This window comes from Homo sapiens, chromosome 2, assembly GCF_000001405.40.
Source record: "Homo sapiens chromosome 2, GRCh38.p14 Primary Assembly".
Classification (NCBI taxonomy): Eukaryota; Metazoa; Chordata; class Mammalia; order Primates; family Hominidae; genus Homo; species Homo sapiens.
Window position 1 is genome coordinate 172,853,826 of NC_000002.12, and position 26,700 is coordinate 172,880,525.

General features: G+C 38.7%; 1 protein-coding gene across 27 annotated transcripts in view; it reads left to right on the forward strand.

The window, feature by feature from the left end:
• RAPGEF4 (Rap guanine nucleotide exchange factor 4) overlaps nucleotides 1–26,700 on the forward strand; it is a 317,576-nt gene that overhangs the window by 118,508 nt on the left and 172,368 nt on the right. For 2 of the 27 annotated variants that reach the window (NM_001282899.2, NM_001282900.2), the window contains exon 1: nucleotides 6,317–6,474. The exons of the other annotated variants lie outside the window; for them this stretch is intronic. The gene's annotated coding sequence lies outside the window, so the exon portion shown is untranslated. Of the gene's footprint in view, nucleotides 1–6,316; nucleotides 6,475–26,700 lie in introns of those variants that run through there. 27 annotated transcript variants of the gene reach the window in all.

Below are 26,700 nucleotides of genomic sequence, written 5' to 3' on the forward strand. Positions count from 1 at the left end.
TATTTTGTTTCCTACATATCTTGTTGGTATTGATTTTTGGTTTAATTAAATTGTGGTCCGAAAACATATTTTTTAGGATTTCAGTCTTTTGAAATTTGTTTAGACTTATTTATAGCACACTAGGGTTTTCGCTCAGTACCTTTTAATAACTTATATTTCACTGTTGAGATTTCTTTATATTTACCAAGGTATTCCTATCTTGGTAAATCTATCATGCACACTTGAAAAGAATGTGCATTCTGCAGCTGTTGGGTGTAGTATTTTTTAAATGTCAATTAGGTCAATGTAGTTGGTAGTGATGTTCAGGTCTTATATGTCCCCACTGATTTTTTCATCTTATTCTAACTATTATTGAGAGAACAGTATTAGAATCTCCAAGTATTTGTCTTTTTCTTCAATAATTTTTTTAATTTTTTGCTTTTTAACATTTTGTTATTAGGCATGTATGCATTTATTATTTTTATTTCTTTTAGGTGAATTACCCTTTTTATCATTATAAAATTCATCTCTTTTGTCTGGTGATACTCTATTGCCTTCAAATCTAATTCATAGGATATTAATATAGTTACTGTGGTTTTCTTATGCTTTCTGTTTTCATGGTGTATATTTTTCCAAGCTTTTATTTTCTAACTATCTGTTTCTTTGTATATAAAAGGTATAAAGAACATATAGATGAATTTTGCTTTTTTTATCCATTCTGACAATTTCTGTTTTTAATTGGAGTGTTTAGTCCATTTACATTTAATGTAGTTATTTATATGATTGGATTTAGGTTTACCATTTTGCTATTTTTGTTGTTGTTGTTGTTCCATATGCTTTTTTATTCCTCTCTCTTCCTTTCTTGCCTTATTTTGGATTAATTAATTTTTTTATAGAATTCTACATTAGTTTGGTTCCCTAGGAAGCAGATACCAAGATTGAGTTATAAGTACAAGAGCTTTATTGGATGCAAGGCCAACAAAAATAGAGAGGTGAAAGAGAGAGTTTGTTACCTGTGAAAGGGGCAGAAGGAATGAGGATGAAAGAGAAAGAGCCTCAGACTGCAGCACAGTTTTGAGAATGTCTCTGCAAGCCCGATGGAGAGTATTAATGCAAAAATTGCTTGTAAACAAGTTTTGCATTGGGCAGAAATGATGGCCCTCCCTACCATGCTTATCATTGACTAACTTTAAAGAACATAGCTTTGATTCACTCACAGTAGATCTAAAAATCACTGCAGTTGGATGCTGTCAGCTAGCTGTACTCTTCACAGCTGATTGGCAAGTTTCTTCTAGAAGGGAGATCCTTCTAGAAGTAGATCTTTTACTTCTAGAAGTAGGCACCTTCATGGCTGCCACAAATTCCATTTTAATTTTTCCATTGGCTTTTCAATTGTATCTCTTTGCATTAATTTTTAATGGTTGCTCTGGGGATTACCACATCTATTAACTTTTCACATTCCACTTAGAATTCATATTGTACTGCTTCATGTCAAATACTGAACCTGGAAATGGTATAATTCCATTTATTGCCCTCCCAATGCTTTATGTTATTGTTGATGATATTATACCTATCTGTGTTATAAACTCCAAAATACAGTGTTAGAATTTTTATTTCAATGGTTGCCTGTAATACAAGTAATATTTTTAAGTAATATTTTTAAAGTATGTGTGTGTCTGTCTGTTTTTCATATTTCCCCACATATTGACATTTCCAGTGATCTTCTTTCCTTCCTATAGATCTGGCTAACCATCTGGTGTCTTTTACCTTCATTCTGGAGAGCTTTCTTCAATGTTTCAAGTAATGCAGGTCTGCTGGAGATTAAGTGTCTTAGGTTTTGTTTTTCTGAAAATGTCTTCATTGGCCTCCAATGTTGAAGAATATTTTTGTTGGATATAGAATTCTAGCTTGACAAATAGAATTCTAGCTTGACAAGTGTTGTTTTCCTGTTGGTATTTTAATGATGTCATTCCATTATCTTCTATTCTCTGTGAATTTTGATGGAAAGTTACTACTAATATAGTTTTCTCCTATACATAGTATGCCATTTTCCCCCTGGTTGCTTTTAAGTTTCTCTCTTTATCTTTGAATTTTAATAGTTTGAATATGATGTGCCTTGGCATGGGTCTTTGTTTTGTTTTGTTTTTTATTAATCTGGTTTGGGGTTTTCTGAGAATCTTGAATTTTTAAGTTTATATCGTTTTTTAACCAAATTTTGGGAAATTTGAGGTATTATTTCTTTAAATATTTTTTCTGTCTATTCTCTGTCTTCTTGTCCTTCTGGAATTCCAGTTATACATATGCTGTTATATCCCATTGATCCCTAAGGCCTTCTTCATTAAAAAGAATTTTCTCTGTTCTTCAGATTGGTTAATTTCTATTGTTCTATCCTTAAGTTCACTGACACATTTTATTATTATTTTTCCAATCTGTTATTGGGTCAATTCAGTGAATTTTTTTCAGATACTGTGTTTTTTAGTTCTAGAATTTTCACTTGTTACTTTTTAATAACTTGTACTTCTCTGCTGAGATTTCTTTTATGTCCTTGAGCACTTAGTTATAATAGCTGCTTTAAAGTCTTTGTTAATTCTAATATCTGAATTATCTCAGAGTTGGTCTCTTTTGGTTGGTTTCTTTTGAGGATGGGTTATTTTTTTGTGTGTCTTTGCATGTGTAGTAATTTTGGAATGTACTCTGGACATTGTGAGTGATATATTATAGAGATTCTGAATACTGTCATATGCCTTTAAAGAGTATTGATTTTCTGTTTTTGTAGGCAGTTAACTTGGCAAAACTCAAATTCCAATTTCATCTTCCCTGAGACAGCAGCAGACATCTCTGTTCAGTTCTTTCTCCTTAACTGAGTGGCTTGGAGTCTGCTTCACATATGTATAGTACTGGGATCAGTCAGAGATTTGGTCAGATCTCATGTAGTCAATCTGGGGCTTTCCCTCTGTGGCTGTCTTCTCTCTAGGATTTCCTCCTTTATTTTCTAGCTGCTATCATTTCCCTGAACTCTGTCCTCTGGTTTCTCAACCAGGAAGACTACAGGCTTTTATCTGACTCTGGCCACACTGTGGAACTGACTGGGCCTTGTCCTTAGATGAAAAGTTATAAAAATTGGGTAATTTATCAAGTGCCATTCTTCTAAGTGTCAGCACCCACCCCCCGCCCGCCTTTATTTCTGCCTGTTCTCAGTCATTCTCCACTGCCTTCAGATAATTTTATTATTGTTTTTAAATATTTTATCCAGGACTTATAATTGTTATCTGTGGGAGAGCTGGCCTGAATTGAATTACTTTTGTGACCAGAAGCAGAACTCTATTATCCCACTTTACAGGTGAATTTAAAATACGCGCGTGTGCGCGCGCACACACACACACACACACACACACACAGAGCGAGTCTTAGTACTTTGCCCAAGGTCATACAGCTGGTAAGTGGCAGAACCATGATTTGAAGACAGGCAAATCCAAGTCTTAGGATTTCTTCCAATGGGAGCTTTTAATGGTGTGAATTTTCAGGACAATGGAAGGAAGTCTACAAAATATTCTGGAACGTATAGGGCCTTATGGTGTCAATTCCTTATGCACCAGACTCATCCCAAGATCTCATTACTCAGTGGATACTTCATATGTCTTTCGGTGTATACATTATTTGAGACGCGAGTTTATATACAAGTTGCATTCAAGGATCATGAGCTCTTGGTTAACTACAAAGTAGATCTTTAGTTATGAAAATCCCTATTTTCAGAGTCCTGTGATCTTGGCTTGGGCCATCTTACATAGAAACTGGTGAAATAGGCCAGGTGTCATGTCCATAATCCCAGCCCTTTGGGAGGCTGAGGTGGGAGGATCACTTGAGCCCAGGAGTTTGAGACCAGCCTGCGAAACATGGCAAAACCCCATGTGTACAAAAAGTACAAAAATTAGCTGGGTGTGGTGGCGTGCCTGCAGTCCCAGATACCTGGGAGACTGAGGTGGCGAAGATCACTTGAGCCCTGGAGAGTCTGAGACTGCAGCGAGCCATGACCTACGGCTGTACTCCAGCCTGACTGACAGAGCAAGACCCTGTCTCAAAAAAAAAAAAAAAAAAAAAAAAAAAAAAAAAAAAAAAAAAAAAAAAAAAAAAAAAGGAAACTGGTGAAGTTTATTATGTGATTCTTTTAGTGACTAAAATAAAGAGAACTTTTAGAGGAAGGTAATATCCACAGTAATGTAATGAACATATATGAGTTATTTGTTGAAAACACTCAGAACCACAGTTATGGATAAATAGTAAACTTTTAAAAATGTAATTTAGCTGATGTGAGTCATGACTTTCAAAGCCTAACAACAAGACCAGGCTTGAGCAATTCTTGTTTTTGAGTTTATGCTCCTTCTTGACTGTTTCCCTTTTTCTCATCTAGCCTAAGTCAGTTTGAATTAACATTTACCAAATTATTAATTTCATCGTATTCCTCTTACCCCTTGATTTTATCTTTATGATGTATTTTCAAAGTCTGGCTTGCTCTTTTTGATTTTGTCATAGTTCATAAGCTGATTTGTAGAGTAGTAAAATCTTGTTCATGTATGTTACTTTCAAACTGAAGGAGAAGGCCTGTGTATGTGCTCCTGGAATTCTCTCAGCATCCCAAACCAGTGCTCGGATACCATACTCCAGTGACCGGCCCATAAAGAGCAGGGACTCAATACTTGATTGATTGATGGTTCTGAATGCCAGCCAGTCAGTTCTGGGAAGGTGGGCTTATCTTCCCAGTGAAATAAAACTGAGTCATTGAAGGCCATGATAAAGATTTGGCTTTCAGCCTAAGAGTAATGGGAAGCTATGCAGAGTTTTAAGCAGCCGAGTGACAAGCCCAGATTTAAATTTTTAAAATAATTTATCTGGATGTTTGTGGAGCAGTTAAGTATAACCAAGTTTTAGAGCACAGAAATCAATATATGTTTTTAAAGTTTACCCAAGTGATATAATCTAAGAAGAACTGATACCCTGAATAGTCTCTAATCAGCCCTCTCAAGTTATTTCTCCTGACTGAAATTTTGAAAAACGCTGAGAAGCATAAAGTTTGAGATTGCCTTTTTCTGTTTTTGGGGGGTGCGGTTGGGGAAGAACCTGAAATGTGAGTATTTAGCATTTCTGATGAGACATTTTATTTTATAATGAAAAATTGAAGAAATGCAGATGTCATTAGGATTAGGGAAATGAATATATAAAGCTATTTAAAATGACAAGTCTGTATTTTATGCCTACATGAAAATGGGTGTGTTAAATTTGTTAATTTTAATAAGCAAAATTTAAAATGCAATAACATGTTTAAAATTATGAAAATGATCATGTATTCCCTTAACAAAATACACAAAAATAGAGATGAAACTTGGTATGCTTTGTTATCCATCAAATTCTGTTGCTTAACAGTGGTTTAAGTCTTGCTGAATAAAATGAGAAAATAAACCTAATATTACTTCAGTAATCATTGTAAATCTGAGTTTAAAAAGCATTGAGGTGCTGCTAAGGCAGCAACATTTTCAAGATATTAAAAACTTTCATATGAAAATGTACTCTGATATATTTCCTCTTCCCAAACATTTGTGGAGGTTGAGAAGATTTTAAACATGTTTTAAAGAAAGGAATTGACAGCTCATGAATTAAATACAGCCTTTAGCTCCTGCTTCAGCTGCTGTTTGTTGATAGCAGGTTGCAACAAGGTTAATAATGATTTGTTTGATGGATCTGCCCAAATTTTTATAGCATTTTATTCTTTGTATGGAACTTGCTAAGTCATAGCTCAATATAGCTCATTAAAATAAACATTTAAGCATGTGTATATAAAACAAATATTGGTGGAAAAAGGAAGAGATTTCTCAGAAAGAGTGCCCTGAAGGTAAAGTGCACCCTGGGCAGTAAGGTGAAGTATCAAGTTGCTCTGTTTTTATAAATAGTGTCGATTCTGAATTCTGGGCTGAAAAACTGGTAAATGACAGCTCTCTCTAGTATTTCCTGAGGCCATCTACTGTTTTCGAGCATAAATCATAAATATACCTTTGAACTAAGACAGTCTTGCTGGACCTATCCTTTTGCGACTCTGACTTCCTGTCTCAATGGAATATTGAAGAGGAGGCTCGGTAGAATAAACAGTGGAATCCTTGTCCGGGAGTGACTGCCTGGCAATTGTTTCATGGAAAACAGGGAGGGGTGGGGGACAACAACCCTGCTCTGTTCACTGGCTCTTTAATTTAGATTACCAATGATAAAGCCGGGGCTACGGCTAAAGAAAGGTAGGATGCATACGCAGAAACATTAGTGCTAATATGCTGCAGAAAAGCCAAGATAAATCAGTCCAGCTCTCATACATCACTAAGGGAGAAGCTGATTGCAACTTGACCATGTTGCCTGAGTAGTCCCATCAGTGAGAAGAGGAGAACATGGATTTAAAAAAAACTAGAATGTACCCCTAGGGCTCCTGCCGTGGTGGACCTGGGAGAAGTGTCTGGTGTAAGTTTCAGCTTGTTTTATCCATGTATTTAGCAGTGTGTTCACATATACAGGGAGCTTGTTTCTCTTCTCTGTGTTTTCATGGAAGCCTCAAGCATGTTTATTTACAGAAGTAGACTTCATTTTGTGTAAATGTAATATCAACCTAATAAAGTTCTTAACAGAGAACAGTTTAACCCAGTGTTTATCCAGGAGAGAAATGTAAAAAAAAGTAATGGTTGTCATAACTGTCTGCAGGAAGCCTGTGCGTGAGTTTTGTTTATTTGGGTTTTTTTTTTTTTTTTGGTTTTGTTTTACGGGGAAGTGAAGGGTTAGAGGAGTAGATCTGAAATGAAAAACTCAGTTATTTGGCAATTGTTTTTTTAAAAAATGTATTTGTCACCCAGCATTTCACTCCTCCTGTGGTCTTTTGTTTTGAAAAACTATGTTTAAATATGTAAAGCCAGCCTGCTAGAAACGCATTATATTTTATGACTGGGATGTTTGTATTGTTTCATATCTGTTATTAGACAAAATAATCATAAAGGGTGTTTTCTATGGACCTTTTTATATTCCAAAATTAAGTACAGATGGTAATTTTCAGCAGTTTTAAAAATTTGTCAATTATTTAATTTAGCATCACTTAAGCATCTGCACAAGGAGAAAGCTGAGATGGTACAGAAACTGAATGAGCATTGATTGCTAGTCTGAATTGCATCTTTAAAGTTTTTGCCTCAAATCTCTGATTTCACAGTTTATTTTTACCAAATTAGATTATCATATTTCATTATCGAGACTATGAATGGGTGGAACTCTCTGAGATATCCTACATTTCCCGTTAGAACAGGGCTTAAAGCGCCTGCTGATTGTTGCTCTGAGGGAAATTCTCATGCCGGCTCACCGAGAAGATTGCTTAAATAATGCATGGGCAAGAGCGAAGCAAGATGGAATTTATGGCCCAGACAGTGTGATCAGGCTTTTGTTCAGAGGAGACACTACTTAAGTGTGAGCATACAGCATACACTGAGGCTCAGGGGAAGGGTGTAACTGAATGAAATTAGTGACCACATGATGCTGTCCACATGTTATTTCAAAACAAGCCTTAAAACAGTCCATTGATCCTATAGTGTGGTTAGAGGGAGGGAAAAGGGGGTATCTTGAAGTGCCAGTTGCAAATAGAATCCCCTGACTGAAAATTCCATGGGGCAGACACAGGAAGTGAATGCTATACCAGGAAGATGGTGTCCCTGGCGAGCCTAGGTGTTTGACTGATGAAATGTAGTATGGCAGTCTTGTTAGGAAAGAATAAACCTTGACCAAACTGCAGGGTTCTATACACTATGTCTTCCATCTTGTCCTAATTAGAGGAATATGTCTGCTGAATCTTAATCTGTTTAATTGTTGATAGAGCAGGCATGTGATTTTCTATAAATACACATGAGCATTCATTTCTGAAATAATGGCTGTTGCCAAATATATTAGACCGACAGGAGTGCTGGACTAGGGAAGCTGTGCTGAATAGTTGAGTTTTGGAGGTAATGGACCAGTTGAGAATCACTGCACAGCTGGGCCAGCAGCTGCACCCAGTGCTCTGTCAAGTTTGGCCTCTAATTTCCTTGAACTTGTCCTTGTTTGCCAAAATGATGCACGTAGCAAGAACTTGCTTTAAATGAGCCCACTGCCAGCAAAAAAGACCCTTTTCAAAGAGTCTTTGTCGAAGTGTGTTGTCAACAGCGGCAATGGCCAAATGAGGTATTGATTAGGCGATGGGAAGTTTGAATAATCACAAAAATAAAAACCAAAGACAAAGTGGTAGAATGAGGTAAGCTGGCAGGAGATCAGAGTACATTAAAAGGCAGCATTCGGTCATCACTGTCCTAACTAAAGGACATATGGAAAAATCCCATAATAATATCCAGCAATAATTATCTTGTAGTTAGGAAAAAATAAATTGGCCCCTGCAGTTTGGAAGGCAGCCCAGTAATCTCAGTGCCTTTTTTCTTAACAGTGTATTGTTCTGATATTCTTTGGGACCGGGTCAGAAGGAAGTGTCAGAGAGAGCATTTTATATTAAGAAGCATCCTATGACTAAATAGTACAATTAGTGGCAAGCTGAGCAGAGACAGCAGCAAGGGCTCACCTTCCATTCTCTGGTCCCAACTTCAGCAAGTGTTTATTTAGCATTTGCTGTGTATCTAGCATGTTCTAGATACATGCTGTAACCAACTAGATTAAAAACTCTTTGAGAGCAGACACTTGGATTTATACGTTTCTCTTATAAATCCCATCTCTTGAAAACTATTGCCCTTGATATGATAACGGCAAGTCTGTCTAGTTCCTTGACTTTAAAGGTATTAAATATTAAATCCTTGTTATGGAGATGCTTAATTTTTCTGTTGCAACACAGATCACCCTCCCTCTTCAGATTTGAGGGCTAGTGACTTGAACACTTGCAAGTTAGGTGGTTTGGGACAAAATACCTAATCTCTTGGGAGAGGAAGTTTCCTCCTTTGTGAAATGAAGAAAGTAACATTCATCATACAGGAATTAAGAGAAGAGATGTACCTGGGTGTTAGGAGGTGCTCTCCTGCCCTCACAGGATATAGTAGTATCATTTACCCCGTGGACTGAGTGTGCAGTGGAGCACAGGGGAGGTGGGGGACTGAGTAGGATGGCAGGAAAGCTGGCTAGAAGGGTGGAACAGTACCTTTGATAAGAATATGACCTGAGACAGGATGGTGCCTGTGGGAATGAGGGGGAAAAGATGAATCTGAAATATATTTCAAAAGGGAACATGACAGAATATGGCAGCAGATTGTATTAAAATAGGGTGACAAAGAAGAAAGAATCATAGTGAGGAGTGAAAAAATGATGGGTTTATGATTATGGCAAAGTCTAATGTGTGTGTGTGTTCTCTAAAAATCAAAAAGCTAGAACAATACAGTATTTCAGGGACTTATAAACTAAGAAAAGTAAGAGAGAAGAGGAAATTGGAGTGCTCTAGTTAACTTATGTAAAGGGAAAGGGAAAAATCAATGATAAACCAATAATATAGAGCTATTGCTGACAATAGAATGAGAATTCAAAGGAATTGCTTAAAATGGCAAATCTATGTTTGGAGTTTTTCCCAGACAAGACCCACAATCATCAAATAATAAGGCTCTTCTGCAATCTTGGAACTTATTTAAGTTTTCCTGAGTTAAAAAATGCCACTGAGGGGATACAAATAGTGTCAGGGTTGGGAAGAAAAAAGAGCACGAGGAATGGAAATTCTCAAAATAGCTCGGTTTTAAAGAGGAAATGGGAGCCAAAAGATGGCTAGTTGACCTTTCAGAACATAACCATTCATTATGATTTGTCAGAAAGTTTGGCAACTGTTATTCCCTAAATAACTTATTGTGATTTTTAAGGAAATTCAAGCAAGAATCAAAATTATACCAAACCCCCAACTGGCAAAAAGGTTGTTTTCCACAAGTTCATTTGCAAGCCCTTTATAGGAGCGATGTTGTAAACATATTTAGGCTCCTTTTCAAAAGTCTACCCAACCCACCCTCGGGTCAAAGTCATGTACAATTGCAATAAAAATTAATAGCAAAACCACTTTTCATGTTAATAATTAAAGCATATATAAGCAATATTAAGCAATGACTATATAAGCAGTAAGCAATAATTAAAGCATAATAGAAGCAATAATCACCAGGATAGAAAATATTTTGAATGCTAGTGTTCAGGGTTAACTACAAGATGATATGTATGGGTTGTGACTCTTTTAAAATTTGTGTCTGCCTTCACTGACTTTGAGACATTGACTTCTTTCATTATGAAAAGTAGGATTTTCCTGTCCTTATTTCAGGCATATCATGGGTTCTACCTTTACCCATATCTGCCATGATTTGGGTTGTTTTCACAAACGAGGATGAGAGAAAAAGGCGGGTAGTGAGAGAGATACCTGAGGTAGCTGGGGCAAAAGTTGAGAGGAAAAACAGCAGGTTTAAAGTATGAGTGAGAAGGAGGTCAAAGGGCAATGAAGGGAGCACTGGACATTGAAGGAGGAACACAAAAAGGTGTGCATTTTGCTCTTGAGGGGAAAGAACATTGGGCTTCATGGCTCCCTGGATCAGCCACCAGGGGGTGCTTCAGCCTCAGAGAAGTTGTCTCTTGAGTCTGGGATTCGGCTCTTGACTGGGTAGACCTGAGGAACCTCCAGTGTACGTCCCCCGATTTAGGTCCCCCTTGTCTTCACTTCCTTCCCTGTTCAGTTTGGATACCATTGCCTATCATTTCAATCACCCTCTTGTCCATATTACTGGTTCTCCCAATCATTCATTCAGTAAGGAGTTATTGGCCGGGCACAGCGGCTCACGCCTGTAATCCCTGCACTTTGGGAGGCTGAGGTGGGTGGATCACTTGAGGCTAGGAGTTCGAGACTAGCCTGGCCAACATGGCAAAACCCTGTCTCTACAAAAAATGCCAAAAATTAGCCAGGCATGGTGGCACGTGACTGTAGTCCCAGCTACTCAGGAAGCTGAGGCCAGAGAATTGCTTGAACCTGGGAGATAGAGGTTGCAGTGAGCCTAGATCATGCCACTGTACTCTAGCCTGGGCCATGGAGTTAGACTCTGTCTCAAAAACAAACAAAACAGAAACAAAATCCAAAAGATTTATGGAGTGACTCCTGTGCTTCGGACATTGTCGTACTGGATACTTGGAAATGAATGAAGCAGGTCTGTGCCTGCCCTTGTCACCTACCAGGTCCAATACCAACCCTTCCTCAGTCCAGTTGTAGGCTTTCTCTTGCCTCCAGCCAGGCTGCTGAGCAGTGCCAGAGAAAACCACACCACTTTCCACATGGCTTCTGTGGCACATCCATCGCCGCCAACCTCACTGGACCCCTCGGCACAACTGAGCCATCCTTACCTATTCTCCTAATGCATTTCTACCCTTCTCCCCAACACCCATTTGAAGATTTCTACTCTCCTCAAATCCTTGACCAAACCACCTCCTTGGTCACTTTTTGCAAACAGCCTCACCTCTTACCATGCAAGATTTCAGCTTCCTGCCAACAAATCAATTACCTGCGTAGTCCAAATAAAACCAACTGCCTTGTGGACAGTTCAACACAGTGAAATCAAGTCTAACTCCAGGAAGCCTTGGAAGGCTAAGGAGGTCTTTACTGAAAGTTTCTTGAGGAGTCAGCCAAGACCAAAAAGGGCACTAGTCTTAAAATATATAGCTAGATTTCCTAAAAATCATCTTTACATGTCTTTCTTCCCAAAGTCTGGCTCCTCCTGGTGGCAGTTCGTTTCTTCTTGCCCTCTGCCCTCTTCCTCTGTTTCTTCACCAGCTGCCACACTCATCTGCCTTGCCTTCTTACCCTGGCCTGCCTTTTCTTATTCCTGCATGGGTAGAGCACACTAGCCTGTCTTGGTGTTGGCCACTCCCCCCACCACCCATTCCTCTTACCTCCATCAGGACGAGTCATAGATGGTTGAATAAGCAGTTTATCCTCCTTCCGAGTGAAGGGAGGGAGGCATTGCAAATACTGGCAATTATATATATGTGTGTGTGTATATATATATTTTTATATGTGTGTATACATATACACATACATATATATAGTCCATTTGTACAAATCCATTTCTAGTCCCTCAGGTTAAGATAGAAGAGGTTTTTCCTCCCGTGACCCCTTCATCTGTGTCCTGGACCCCATTCACTCTCATCCTCTTGGGATGCTTACTTTATGCATAATTTCTTCCATTTCTTATATCTTTCACCTTTTCATCCCCAGTGGATCCTTCTCATCTGAGTGTACATGGGCTTCTACCATTCCAATTTAAAAGAGAACAAGACAAAACAAAACCTTCATCTTCCCCTTGCACCCCTTTATCTACTCTATCTCCCCTTTTATAGCCAATCTTTGTCATGGAATTGTCTATTTGTTGTATCCATTTCTTCCCTTCCCAGACACTCCTCAATCCACGGTGATTAAAATTCTAACCCAGCCACTCCACAGAAAGCTGGCTACCTAAAGTCATCCCCTGCCTGCTTGTTCTGAATGTGAAAGAGAGCCTCAGTCCTTAATTTTTCTATAGCATTTGACATTGTGGATTCCTTTCCCTTCTTGAAATATTATTTTCTTGCAGCTTTTTAGTGCTCTCCTATTCCTTAGTCTCTGTAGGCTTATCTTTCTTTATACACTATTAAAATATAAGTCGTATTCAGGGGCACTCTTCTGACTTTGGGAGAAATGGGGAGATGCCATTCATTGCTGTGGCTTCCGTTAATACATACATACTATTGACTCCCATGCTTAGATCAGGCCTCACTTTGGGAGGCAGGATACAGATCCCTTCTGCTTGGAGAACAGAACTCCAAACTCAACTTGGATTTTAACCCCAAAATGGTGCAGTCTGAGGGTGGGCCTGTTTTTCTGGCCCAAACCAATAATTTGCTGAATTACCCTTCTGTTACAAAAAACCTCTCTCAAACATGTTCTATCACTACCACCACCAATTTTGTTGTATTGATCTCCTTTGGGGCTGAAATACAGACTTTAAAATCTTCTTACATTCTTCGATAGTCTAGTGTTTATAGTGTAAACTTTATAGAATTTGTCCCGCTAATTAAGCCAAAATTTTAGAATGCGAAAGTCTTTTCTATCTCAAAACTGCTCTTTTTTTTTTTTTTTTCTTGAGACAGAGCCTTGCTGTCACCCAGGCTGCCAGGCTGCCAGGCTGGAGTGCAGTGGCGTGATCTTGGCTCACTGCAACCTCTGCTTTTCTTCCTGGGTTTAAGCGATTCTTGTGTCTCAGTCTCCCTAGTAGCTGGGATTGCAGGCGCCCACCACCACACACAGCTAATTCTTTTTATTTTTAATGGAGATGGGGTTTTGCCATGTTGGCCAGGCTGGTCTTGAACTCCTGACCTCAGGTGATCCACCCACCTCGGCCTCCCAAAGTGCTGGGATTACAGGTGTGAGCCACTGTGCCCAGCCAAAAACTGCTTATTAAAAATAAAAAAAACCTTTGACTGTCTGTATTTTGGATAAATAAATCTATTTAGACAAGCAGTTGGCTTCTTTGTTTCCTTCAGTTCTTTTACTGTCCTTGGGGTAACTGAATGATCTCATAGGGTCAATGAGATACAAACTTTTAAATATTTTAACCTACACAGGAATGGAAAAGGGAATTGAGTTGGTGAGAGGAATCATTCAAGAGAAGAGACTCTTGACCCTTGAACATGAAGGTCCAAGAGAATACTCCTTTGCTTATCTGAACAGATTCCTTATCATCTGAAATGTATCTATCTCATGTTGAAACTGGTAATGGTTGGAAGACTCCATCTAATTTTTCAACACTTCATGAGTAAATGGATTTATGATTGAGGGTATGGCTATTTGTTGGGCATTCATAATTAAAATGTGGTGAAAGATAGAACTAAATCCACTGGCCTTGTCCAATTTCATCCTGATTAAATAGGCACAAGCTAATTTCCATCCAGGCCAATCTACATAGGTAAAGGAGTTAATGTTTAAGAAACTATTTTGAACCTTTGAGCCCTAATTACATTTTGGAAAAGTTTCTTGTGACAGAGAAGAAGTCTGATGATTTGGATCAGGAAAATAAATTTTTATATTACCTTTTTAACTTCTTTAAAGCCACTTTTTGTAGAAGAATATGGAATATATTTGAACCTTCCAGAGATGAAGAAAGTAAAACATTTCATAAATTCAAATCATGTCGTAGTTAAATTAATCCAAAATTTAACTGTTAGTCAATGACAGAGAAATGGAAGAAGGTGTGACATGCTTCAGTTGCTGGACTCTTATCATCCAGGCATGCAATTGCATTTTGAACAGATTGGAATCACATGAAGAGATTATTGGACCACCTAACAAAACGAGCATCCCAGTAATCAATCTCAGAAATAATAAAAGCATGAATTAAATGTTTTTGATCAATATTCACCCAACTCATATCCTTAATGATAATACTTAACTGAAAGAAAGACCTTTGCTTCAAGGTTCATTTGAAATTCACAGAGAACTCTAAATTTGTTTTGACATCCTAATGCTTCTGGAAAGTATGAGTCCTGTATTTCATTTTGTAGAATTAGAGCAGACTGCATAACATGCTCTTATATAGCACAGACTGTCTCTACTTTTTCATTCTATGTTTTAATAAGAGAAAATGTAATGGGGAAGGGAGACAGAGGGGAAGGAATCTTTGTATTGGGGAGTGGGAGGAAAGAGCCATGTGTACAGCTCTCTCCTGTGAATGGTGCCTGTGCCCTCTTTAAAGGTATGTCTCTTGCAGATAAATTCAAACAATGGAAGCAGCTATCTGTCTGAACCTGACAGTACTTATTAATTCAGAGGACAGAATCATAGTTCTAGCTTCATCTTAATTAAGTGGGTTTCTACAGTTTTTCTTCTTCTAAAAGGGGAACGTGTGTGTTAGTCCATTTGCATTGCTGTGAAAGAATACCTCAGACTGGGTAATTTGTAAAGATATGAGGTTTATTTGGGCTCACAGTTCTGCGGCCTGTACAGGAAGCATGATGCTGGCATCTGCTCCTGGTGAGGGCCTCAGGAAGCTTGCAATCATGGTGGAAGGTGAAGGGGGAGCAGGCATGTCACTGACGAGAGCTGGAGCAAGAGAGAGAAGACTGGTCTCAAATTCCTGGGCTCAAGCCATCCTCCCGCCTTGGCCTCCCAAAGTGGGCCTGGCATCTTGTAGGTTCTCAATAAGTGTTTGTAGTTTTGGTATCTGGAGCCAACTAGAATTTGATCTGAAAACAAAGTTTACATTAAATAACAAAACTGAATTTCCCCCCATTCTAAGTGAATCTCCAGAATGATTCATTTCCCTATCTGTAAAATATGAAGACTAACCCTTACTTCATGGAGTTATTAGGGGACCTCAATGAGATAACACAGGAAAGTCCTTCATAAACAATCCAGCTCTATTAAAATAGAAGGTTTATCATGGAAAAAACCAAACCAGAGCCCTTGATAAATTCTTAGTTATTGTGTTATTGTTTTGGGTTTTTAAAAAAATTAATATGTGCTTTTTAAGGAATAATTTTGAGCATCTGAAGTTAAAATATTGAAAAATCTCTTTGCTAAAAGTCCTTTCCCTGTGGGTAATTTTATGCTGTATATTAGAAAGCACAGGAAGTCCAACATCTTGCATGGAGTTAATGGTAAATTTTGTGTCTTGAGAACTATAGATGGAAAATTGTTTTCTAATATTTAGATGTTTCACCCATGTAGCTGTGTATGGGATATGGGATGGGGGTGTTTGTCAGCTCAGCCTCTTAGCCATCCACCCTCTCACTGCATTTTGATGATTTTTATTATGCACAACCATACAATATTGCTGATATTTGACTCTACTTTTGACCTACAAAAATGGTGATTTTGTATGTTCAGCCTTAATATAAGTATATTTCTGTTATTGAATGTGTGTTTGTTTATCTGCTCTGTCTCACATACGCATTTGGAGGGCAGGGATTGTATGTCATATCTAAAAGGAAGTCCAGAAATCTGAGCTCAGACAATGTAAAATATAAAATGTAGAGGTAAAGTGTCTTTTTATATGGGCTGCAGATACTATTATTGACATCCTTCATGGAGACAAATGCACTGGAAATCATAGGTGCTTAATAGCTGGGGACATCCTACGGGTGAACTCCACTCCCGGGGAGTGGGCATTTCAAACTAGGAGCAATCCTGACAAACTGGTAACCTGGGTGTGCTGCAGCACCCCTGAGTCATCTCCTCATTCCCGAGTCCCGCTGCCTTCCTATTAACTCACTTCCCTCTGCTGTTACCACTGTGTGGATACTGCTGCTTTCACCTGCAGCTTACCCAATTAGGGGGAGATAGGGTGTCCCTGTTGCACTACTTTTCAAGCCTCTTTTATTGTAACCCATAGTAGGAATACATTTCACATCATGACCCGGTACACTATACTGTATGACGTATATATGCATATGATCAGCCAGTCAATCAATCTATCTAATTCTATTCTGTTCTATTCTATTCTATGATATATATCTTGGTAGGCCAGTTGCCAGTTCTGAGAAGCTATCCATCATGTCTTTTTTGAATAAGGACCCAACTAAACTTGTGGAGACCTTTATGCTTCATGAGAGAGGGAAAAAATGCCAGTTCAATCTTTAAGCTTTTTATCCCTCTTAAGTAGCTGTGGCCTGTGTCAGTTTATGTCAGGATTTGTTTTCCTATTCCTGGTTTTGAGAAGCCACAGCCTTGCAGATAAACCCCAGACTAGACTGGGGCTATGGCTTCAGTAACAAAGTTCTGGAACCCATGGAATTAATTATAGGTGGTAATGGCTTCAGTCACGGTGGGATGTTTCAGTTTGACCATGACTATCACGAGAGATATGCTGCTGTGTGCATGGATATAGCCAGGTGAGATTACTTATCTTTATGCTTGTTTCCTATTTCAAATATGACTTTATAATTTTTTCCTATCTATAAATTGAGATTTAAATTTATTAAAATTCCTATGCAGAGACGTATAACTAAATACAGACTATGGATTTTGCTAGGAGAATCAGTAGCTTGGGAATATTTTGGCTTTGATTAAAACTTTTGAAATGTTGTGAAAAGAGGTATAGCACCTTTAACTCAATTCTAAATTTTTGGTATAAAACTTGTATATTTATTTCTATTAGAATTAAGAAAAATAAACACCACTTGCCTGCCTTAAGTCTCAGATAGTCTGTTTAAATGTGGCTTTTCCAGTGGTCCACTGCTTTTAATTCAGTGACCTATATTTTCTAGGGGAAAAAAAGAGGCAGTTTCTTCTCCTCATAGGGTTGTTCCATCATTATCAAACTAGACTGTATCATATCTGAAATCCTGCTAATCAGGCAGGAACTAGAGGCACGAGGCTTTCTTGTTCAGGTGAATTCAGAATGGATTTAGTGTGTTGCTCAAAGGGAAAACTTTTGAATTAACTTGCCTTAGACTTGCACTGATTTTTGAGGTGTGGAGGCCCTTGGCAGAGTGTTTTGATTGGTATCGGCCTGCTTTCTGCAGTGAGAAAGCTGACTCAAGGGATATGTGACAATCATAGGAGATTTCCTTTCAAGAACTCACAGAAATGGCTTACAGAGCCCAGGGTTAGATGGAGGGTAGTGGAGGGCAAGGCACAAAATCTGGATGATTTATCTCAGCCTCTGACACATTTTATATCGTTGAGTAAATCACTTAACCTCTCTTTGCCAGGGCCTTCAGTTGTAAAATGGAAATAAGGTTCCCATTTCATAGACCTCACTAAAAGGGATATTATCTATTTTGACCCAAAAAAGCAGACTTTTTTTTTTTTTTTTGCACTGAAGGTAATTCTAAAAGAGTTACAACAGTATTTTGAGATGACAGCATTATCGAAATAAGCAAATGACCAGCCAAAGGAAGTATATATTAAATTAGGGTAAGTCCTTCAGATTAAAAAAAAAATGCATTGAGAAGCTGCTATTTTCAAGACACTTTCCAATTCACTTTTACATGGCTGTTTAATCCTCCCAGTAGTTCTGGGTGGCAGTTGGTTATTTTCCTGTTTCTAATTTTATGAATAACATAACTGAGGCTCAGAGAAGTTAACCAACTTGCTTGGAGTCACACAGCAAGGAAGTAGCTGTGCCCAGCTTCAAGTCTGATGTTAGGTCCAGAATCCTTCCCATGATGTATCATCTGCCTTTGATGTGGGATTAAGAGATAATAGCATATCTGAAAACAAACCTACTTTCTGAGAAAACTGGATAAATGAAAGACCTATATTTAGTTTCTAAATCTTACTTCAGTTTCCAAATTTGCTTTATTCTCTGGAGCTGTTTTTCTTTAAGGTATATATTGTATTGTTTCCACTTTGTTGTTTCTATCAAATGCATTTGTTAGTTGTTAATGGTTCTTTACTAGTTCTTTTAGCACTGGTTAACAAAACTCTTCAGAGGCTTATCTGTGACGAACTATTATTCCTTTTTAAGATATATGACTGACTCCTGGTGAATAATCTTTGCAGCATTGTTATGCCTATTTTCATAATTTACAACTTTTAGGATAAGGCATCCTTCAATCCAACTGGGTAGTCTGCTAGTTGCCAAGCCCAGGGTAGTTGTATGTTGTGTTTTTGACATCTCATCTAAGAGGATGAAAAGTTGAACAGTGACGTGGTTTGGCCCTGTGTCCCCACCCAAATCTCATGTTGAATTGTAATCCCTACTTGTTGGGGGAAGGGCCTGGTGGGAGGTGATTGGATCATGGGGGCGGATTTCTCCCTTGCTGTTCTCATGATGGTGAGTGAGTTCTCACGAGATCTGATGGTTTAAAAATATGTGGCACTTCCCCCCTCGCTCCCTCTCTCTCTTTCCTGCTCCACCATGGTAAGACATGCCTGCTTCCCCTTCACCTTTCTCCTTGATTGTAAGTTTCCCAAGGCCTCCTAGCCATGTTTCCTGTACAGTCTATGGAACTGTGAGTCTATTAAACTTATTTTCTTCATAAATTACCCAGTCTCAGATAGTTCTTTATAGCAGTGAGAGAATGGCCTAATACCAGCAGATTCCTGCTTTTCCTTCCAGCTTCACAAGCAGTAGTGGTGTTACAAATCCCCTCTCACTTCAGGCTTTCTATGTCTGTGAAGAGTTCAGACTGACCGGAACCATTTATTGAATACCCCTTACTTGGGTGCATTAGTCAAATGCAATTGATTGTTATAACATGCCACCAGCTTAGGAGAGGGAATCAGACTCCTTAATTGAAGATGCAACTTTGGAGGACAGAGTGTAAATCATTGAATACAAAGTCCAATAATTTTCTCACAGTGAATACAATGTGTCTATAATTGCATTCTCAATACAGCCAGACAAAGCAGAGATGGCTGATATTCAAGACTAGGCATTGGGAGACTCCTAAGAACCTTTCTCAAGATTCATCCAGTTTTACGTCTTGTCTGGAAATGTTCTCATGTTTCTCAGGGAACCTTGTTCAGAGGGATGCTGCTAGGTATAGTATCCATGTACAATTAAGATTACAATAAAATTAAAGTTAATGTATTAGAGAATACTTTGAAAGCCAAGACATTTTAACTGTCATCCATATTATAACCTTGGCATAGTCTTTAGATTGTATATCTTACAAAGGATACAAGAGCAACTCTAGGTCTTTCCTCCTTGGTCCTTCAGCTGCTACCCTCTTTCCTAATTCAACAATAACTCATAATCATTTAGCACAAACTAGAGATATGTACAAATGCAATGATTTAGGTAAAGATTTCCTTGTTGTTGCCGTTGACTTTAAAGAAATGAGTTTATCAGGACATAGGCATGGACAAAAACTTCATGACTAAAACACCAAAAGCAATGGCAACAAAAGCCAAAACTGACAAATGGGTTCTAATTAAACTAAAGAGCTTCTGCACAGCAAAAGGAATATCATCAGAGTGAACCGACAACCTAAGGAATAGGAGAACATTTTTGCAATCTATCCATCTGATAAAGGGCTAATATCCAGAACCTACAAAGAACTCAACCAAATTTACAAGAAGAAAACAAACAACCTAATCAAAAAGTGGGCAAAGGATATGAACAGGCACTTCTCAAAAGAAGACATTTATGCGGCCAACAAACATATGAAAAAAAGCTCATCACCACTGGTCATTAGAGAACTGCAAATAAAAACCACAATGAGATACCGTCTCACACCAGTTAGAATGGCAATCATTAGAAAGTCAGGACACAATAGATGCTGGAGAGGATGTGGAGAAATAGGAACACTTTTACACTGTTGGTGGGAGTATAAATTAGTTCAACCATTGTGGAAGACAGTGTGGTAATTCCTCAAGGATCTAGAACCAGAAATACCATTTGACCCAGCAATCCCATTACTGGGTAGATACCCAAAGGATTATAAATAATTCTATTATAAAGACACGTGCACGTGTATTTTTTTTAAATTATACTTTAAGTTCTAGGATACATGTGCACAATGTGCAGGTTTGTTACATATGTATACATGTGCCATGTTGGTGTGCTGCACCCATTAACTCGTCATTTACATTAGGTATATCTCCTAATGCCATCCCTCCCTGCTCCCCTCACCCCACAACAGGCCCCGGTGTGTAATGTTCCCCTTCCTGTGTCCAAGTGTTCTCATTGTTCAATTCCCGCCTATGAGTGAGAACATGCGATGTTTGGTTTTTTGTCCTTGCGACAGTTTGCTGAGAATGATGGTTTCCAGCTTCATCCATGTCCCTACAAAGGACATGAACTCATCCTTTTTATGGCTATATAGTATTCCATGGTGTATATGTGCCACATTTTCTTAATCCAGTCTATCATTGTTGGACATTTGGGTTGGTTCCAGGTCTTTGCTATTGTGAATAGTGCCGCAATAAACATACATGTGCATGTGTCTTTATAGCAGCATGATTTATAATCCTTCGGGTATATACCCAGTAATGGGATGGCTGGGTCAAATGGTATTTCTAGTTCTAGATCCCTGAGGAATCACCACACTGTCTTCCACAATGGTTGAACAGTTTACAGTCCCACCAACAGTGTAAAAGTGTTCCTATTTCTCCACATCCTCTCCAGCACCTGTTGTTTCCTAACTTTTTAATGATCGCCATTCTAACTGGTGTGAGATGGTATCTCATTGCAGTTTTGATTTGCATTTCTCTGATGGCCAGTGATGATGAGCATTTTTTCATGTGTCTTTTGGCTGCATAAATGTCTTCTTTTGAGAAGTGTCTGTTCACATCCTTTGCCCACTTTTTGATGGGGTTGTTTGTTTTTTTCTTGTAAATTTGTTTGAGTTCTTTGTAGATTCTGGATATTAGCCCTTTGTCAGATGAGTAGATTGCAAAAATTTTCTCCCATTCTGTATGTTGCCTGTTGACCCTGATGGTAGTTTCTTTTGCTGTGCAGAAGCTCTTTAGTTTAATTAGATCCCATTTGTCAATTTTGGCTTTTGTTGCCATCGCTTTTGGTGTTTTAGACATGAAGTCCTTGCCCATGCCTATGTCCTGAATGGTATTGCCTAGGTTTTCTTCTAGGGTTTTTATGGTTTTAGGTCTAACATTTAAGTCTTTAATCCATCTTGAATTAATTTTTGTGTAAGGTGTAAGGAAGGGATCCAGTTTCAGCTTTCTACATATGGCTAGCCAGTTTTCCCAGCACCATTTATTAAATAGGGAATCCTTTCCCTATTGCTTGTTTTTGTCAGGTTTGTCAAAAATCAGATGATTGTAGATGTGTGGTATTATTTCGGAGGGCTCTGTTCTGTTCCATTGTTCTATATCTCTGTTTTGGTACCAGTACCATGCTGTTTTGGTTACTGTAGCCTTGTAGTATAGTTTGAAGTCAGGTAGCATGATGCCTCCAGCTTTGTTCTTTTTGCTTAGGATTGTCTTGGCAATGTGGGCTATTTTTTGTTTTGATATGAACTTTAGTTTTTTCCAACTCAGTGAAGAAAGTCATTGATGTAGCTTGATGGGGATGGCATTGAATCTATAAATTACCTTGGGCAGTATGGCCATTTTCACGATCTTGATTCTTCCTATCCATGAGCATGGAATGTTCTTCCATTTGTTTGTATCCTCTTTATTTTCCTTGAGCAGTGGTTTGTAGTTCTCCTTGAAGAGGTCCTTCACATCCCTTGTAAGCTGGATTCCTAGGTATTTTATTCTCTTTGAAGCAATTGTGAATGGGAGTTCACTCATGATTTGGCTCTCTGCTTGTCTGTTATTGGTGTATAAGAATGCTTGTGATTTTTGCACATTGATTTTGTATCCTGAGACTTTGCTGAAGTTGCTTATTATCAGCTTAAGGAGATTTTGGGCTGAGACGATGGGGTTTTCTAAATATACAATCAAGTCATCTGCAAACAGGGACAATTTGACTTCCTCCTTTCCTAATTGAATACCCTTTCTTTCTTTCTCCTGCCTGATTGCCCTGGCCAGAACTTCTAACACTATGTTGAATAGGAGTGGTGAGAGAGGTCATCCCTGTCTTGTGCCAGTTTTCAAAGGGAATGCTTCCAGTTTTTGCCCATTCAGTATGATATTGGATGTGGGTTTGTCATAAATAGCTCTTATTTTTTTGAGATATGTCCCATCAATACCTAATTTATTGAGAGTTTTTAGCATGAAGGGCTGTTGAATTTTCTCAAAGGCCTTTTCTGCATCTATTGAGATAATCATGTGGTTTTTGTCTTTGGTTCTGTTTATATACTGGATTACATTTATTGATTTGCATGTGTTGAACCAGCCTTGCATCCCAGGGATGAAGCCCACTTGATCATGGTGGATAAGCTTTTTGATGTGCTGCTGGATTCGGTTTGCCAGTATTTTATTGAGGATTTTTGCATCAATGTTCATCAGGGATATTGGTCTAAAATTCTCTTGTTTTGTTGTGTCTCTGCCGGGCTTTGGTATCAGGATGATGCTGGCCTCATAAAATGAGTTAGGGAAGATTCCCTCTTTTTCTATTGATTGGAATAGTTTCAGAAGGAATGGTACCAGCTCCTCCTTGTATGGTAGAATTTGGCTGTGAATCAGTCTGGACCTGGACATTTTTTGGTTGGTAGGCTATTAATTATTGCCTTAATTTCAGAGCCTGTTATTGGTCTATTCAGGGATTCAACTTCTTCCTGGTTTAGTCTTGGGAGGGTGTAGGTGTCGAGGAATTTATCCATTTCTTCTAGATTTTCTAGTTTATTTGCGTAGAGGTGTTTATAGTATTCTCTGATATCCCCTTTATCACTTTTGCAGCACTATTCACAACAGCAAAGACTTGGAACAAACCCAAATGCCCATCAGTGATAGATTGGATAAAGAAAATGGGGCATATATACACCATGGAATACTATGCAGGCATAAAAAAGGATGAGTTCATGTCCTTTGCAGGGACATGGATGAAGCTGGAAATCCATCATTCTCAGCAAACTAACACAGGAACAGAAAACCAAACACCCCACATGTTCTCACTCATAAGTGGGAGTTGAAAAATGAGAACATATGGACACAGGGAGGGGAACATCACACATTGGGTCCTGTCAGAGGGTGGGGGACCAGGGGAGGGATAGCATTAGGAGAAATACCTCATGTAGATGATGGGTTGATGGGTGCAGCAAACCACCATGCATACAAACCACCATGGCACGTGTATACCTATGTAACAAACCGTAAATTTTGCACATGTATCTCAGAACTTAAAGTATAAAAAAAAAAAAAAGAAAAGAAATGAGTTTAAAGTCCAGTTCAAGACCTGGATGATGAGCTGTTCCCTACTGGAACTAAACCTTGCTTTTCTCACTTTGCTGGGCTGCGGCACCAGCTGTAACCCAAGTCCTTCACATGCCCTAGACCGGCCTCTCAGATAAAAGACCCCTTCCTTCTGCCCTTGCTGCCTGTATTCTGGAAAGCACCCAGCCAAGTGCTGGCCTGAAGCTCTTTCTTCATTGCTACCCTGATGCCCCTGGAGTGTGTTATGGGTGAGGGACCTTCTGTCTTCTCCATACCTTTGGAAAGCAGTGACTCTCCTAGCTATTGGAAAGATGGTGCTGTATAATTTTAAACATACTGGAAATCTGCAATATGAATAGATCCTCAGTATGTTTTGTTCTTTCACTCTAAGATGATTGCTAAGAATAGAGGCAAATAAACTCTAAGAAACTTTGTCTGTGACCCCTCCGTGACTCAGCCAGCATTACTAATTTGCTGTGGGAGGCAGGTTTTGAATTTGTTAGAACAAATTACTTAAGTTGTGCTCTTTGCATTAGAATCTGCACTTCAAATGAATTAATTCTACACCCACCTGGTGTGAAAAACAGCGTAAGGTTAGAGAGGTGGTAAAGTGGAACTAGAGATGGGGGAAGTGATGCTGTGGTTATTCTTCCTCCATCATTTCTGTGTAGGTCCTTCTGACCACATTTTCTATTGACAAGGTTACCTCCCCTAATCATTCTCTTCTATCTTTTTCCCACTCACCCAATTGTTGATGGACCCATTCACATTCTAACCTTGTACCTTACCTCAAAATATTCTGATGTCCATGTGAGTTTGTATCCAGAAGGATTCTCTGTGACAGTCTTATTTCTAGGAGAGTCTGTTCATTTCTAGGAAGGACTATAACTACAGCTTGGGGCAGATGGCAGCTGTCCAGATTGCAGTGTGTGATTATTTCTGTAGTTATTCCTGTTAAAAAAACATCCAAGTTTGTTAAAAATTGTCGGGAAGAAGCTCAGGAAAGGGACAGCATATTTCACTGAGAGCCATCAGAACTTTATTCTTTTGGAGAATGAAGGCAGGTAAAGTAGACAGATGGATTTAGAAACAACACCTGGATGAGAAGTCTTATATATTACATTCCCTGCTAAAGTAAAGAACTCAAAATATTTTATCAATTGACAAGGAAAGTCCACTAGCTAGAAAAAATGGGCAACAATGTGTATAGGCGATTCACAAAGAAAGGAATATATTTCTTCTTTTGGTCGATAATTATGTAAATATCACTAGTAGTCATAAAGACGTAAATGGAGACAATTAGATATGCTTTTTCACTCACCAGATTGGCAGTGATGGAAGTAATCAATAAATATGCAGTGATGGGAAAGCTGTGGGGAAACAAGTACTCTTGTACTCTGCAGGTGGGGCTGCAAATATTAGTTACATTTTGCAGTTGACAGGCAGTATTTATCAAAATTTTAAATGCACACACCATTTGGCCAAATACCCCTAAGTCTAGATATCTCTCCTTTGGAAATGCTTGCACATGTTCATAAAGATATTATATAAGGGCCTGTTTTTGGTAGTATTGTTTGCTATAGCCAACTACTGGAAAAACTCTAAATGTCCATCAGTAAAGGACTAGTTAAGTAAATCATAATTCATGCTTAACTTGAAATACTATAAGCTGTTTAAAAAACTGAGAGATCTATATATACTGTTATGGAAATATCTCCAAGACACACTGCTAATGCCCAAGCAGGAAGCTGCAGGGACAATACATATGATTATGATTCCATTCATTTAAAAAATAAACCTAAAGCCATAGCTTTGTATATATACTTAGATATGTACATAAATACACAGATAAAGTCATGTAATACTATATACCAAACCGTTGACAGTGCAGCAAAGAGAGGAATTGGGGTGGAGTGACGAAGCGGGACTTTTAATTTTTTACTCTACGTACTTCTGACCTTTGATATTTTATTACATCTCTATTACAATAAGGATGAATTACTTTGGGAGGCCGAGACGAGCAGATCACTTGAGTCCAGTAGTTTGATACCAGCTTGGGCAACATGGCAAGACCCCGTCTCTACAAAAAAACACAAAAAATTAGCCAGGTATGGTGGTGTGCACCTGTAGTCCAAGCTACTCAGAGGCTGAGGTGGGAGGATCACTTGAACCTAGAAGGTCAAGGCTGCAGTGAGCCGTGATCATACCACTGTACTGCAGCCTGGGTGACAGAGTGTGACCCTGTCTCCAAAAAATGGATTACTTGTATAATTTGTTAAGCGTATATAAAAATAGGAAAGTTGCAACTTAGCTTTCTGGGAAAAGTACTCTGAATTGCCTCCCAAAGAGACTGTTCAGGAAACCAAAGGTGGGTGGTACAACAAAAGCTTTTCCTTTTTATTTTGGTAGTGGTTGGTCCATTTATATAATGGAGCATGACAGGCTTTTTTCTGTACACTTTTCGGGAAGCATACCTGCATAGCCTGCAAATGAGGTGGCCATCACAAACAGCTAGCTGAGACAGCGACTTACCTGCAGACTGAAGGGGTGGGGGAATCACATGCCCACTTGCTGACTGGAACCAAAGAGTCCATCATTAAACATAAAATGTTGCTCAGGTCCCACTGTCTACCTCACTTCCCTGATGCCCCAGAGCTCTGGTGGACTCAGTGCTCCGCGCTCTGGGGAGCTCAGGAAGCCTAGGGCTCACAGCTATCATTAGATTCAATAGAGCTCACGCTCTATAAAATGTGCTTCTCTAGGCTCCTAACCAGCAGGCATAGCATTGCATCTCCCTGACACCTTCCTGAACTTCTATAAGTACACATTGCATAGTAATTCATTGTTTACATGTCAGTCTTCTTCTTTACTCTGTCTTTATTCATTTCTGTATTCCCAGAGCTCAATACAGTGCCTGGTATATAGGAAATGCTCAAGAAATGACTAGAATAAAGGATAAAAAGTCTAGATTT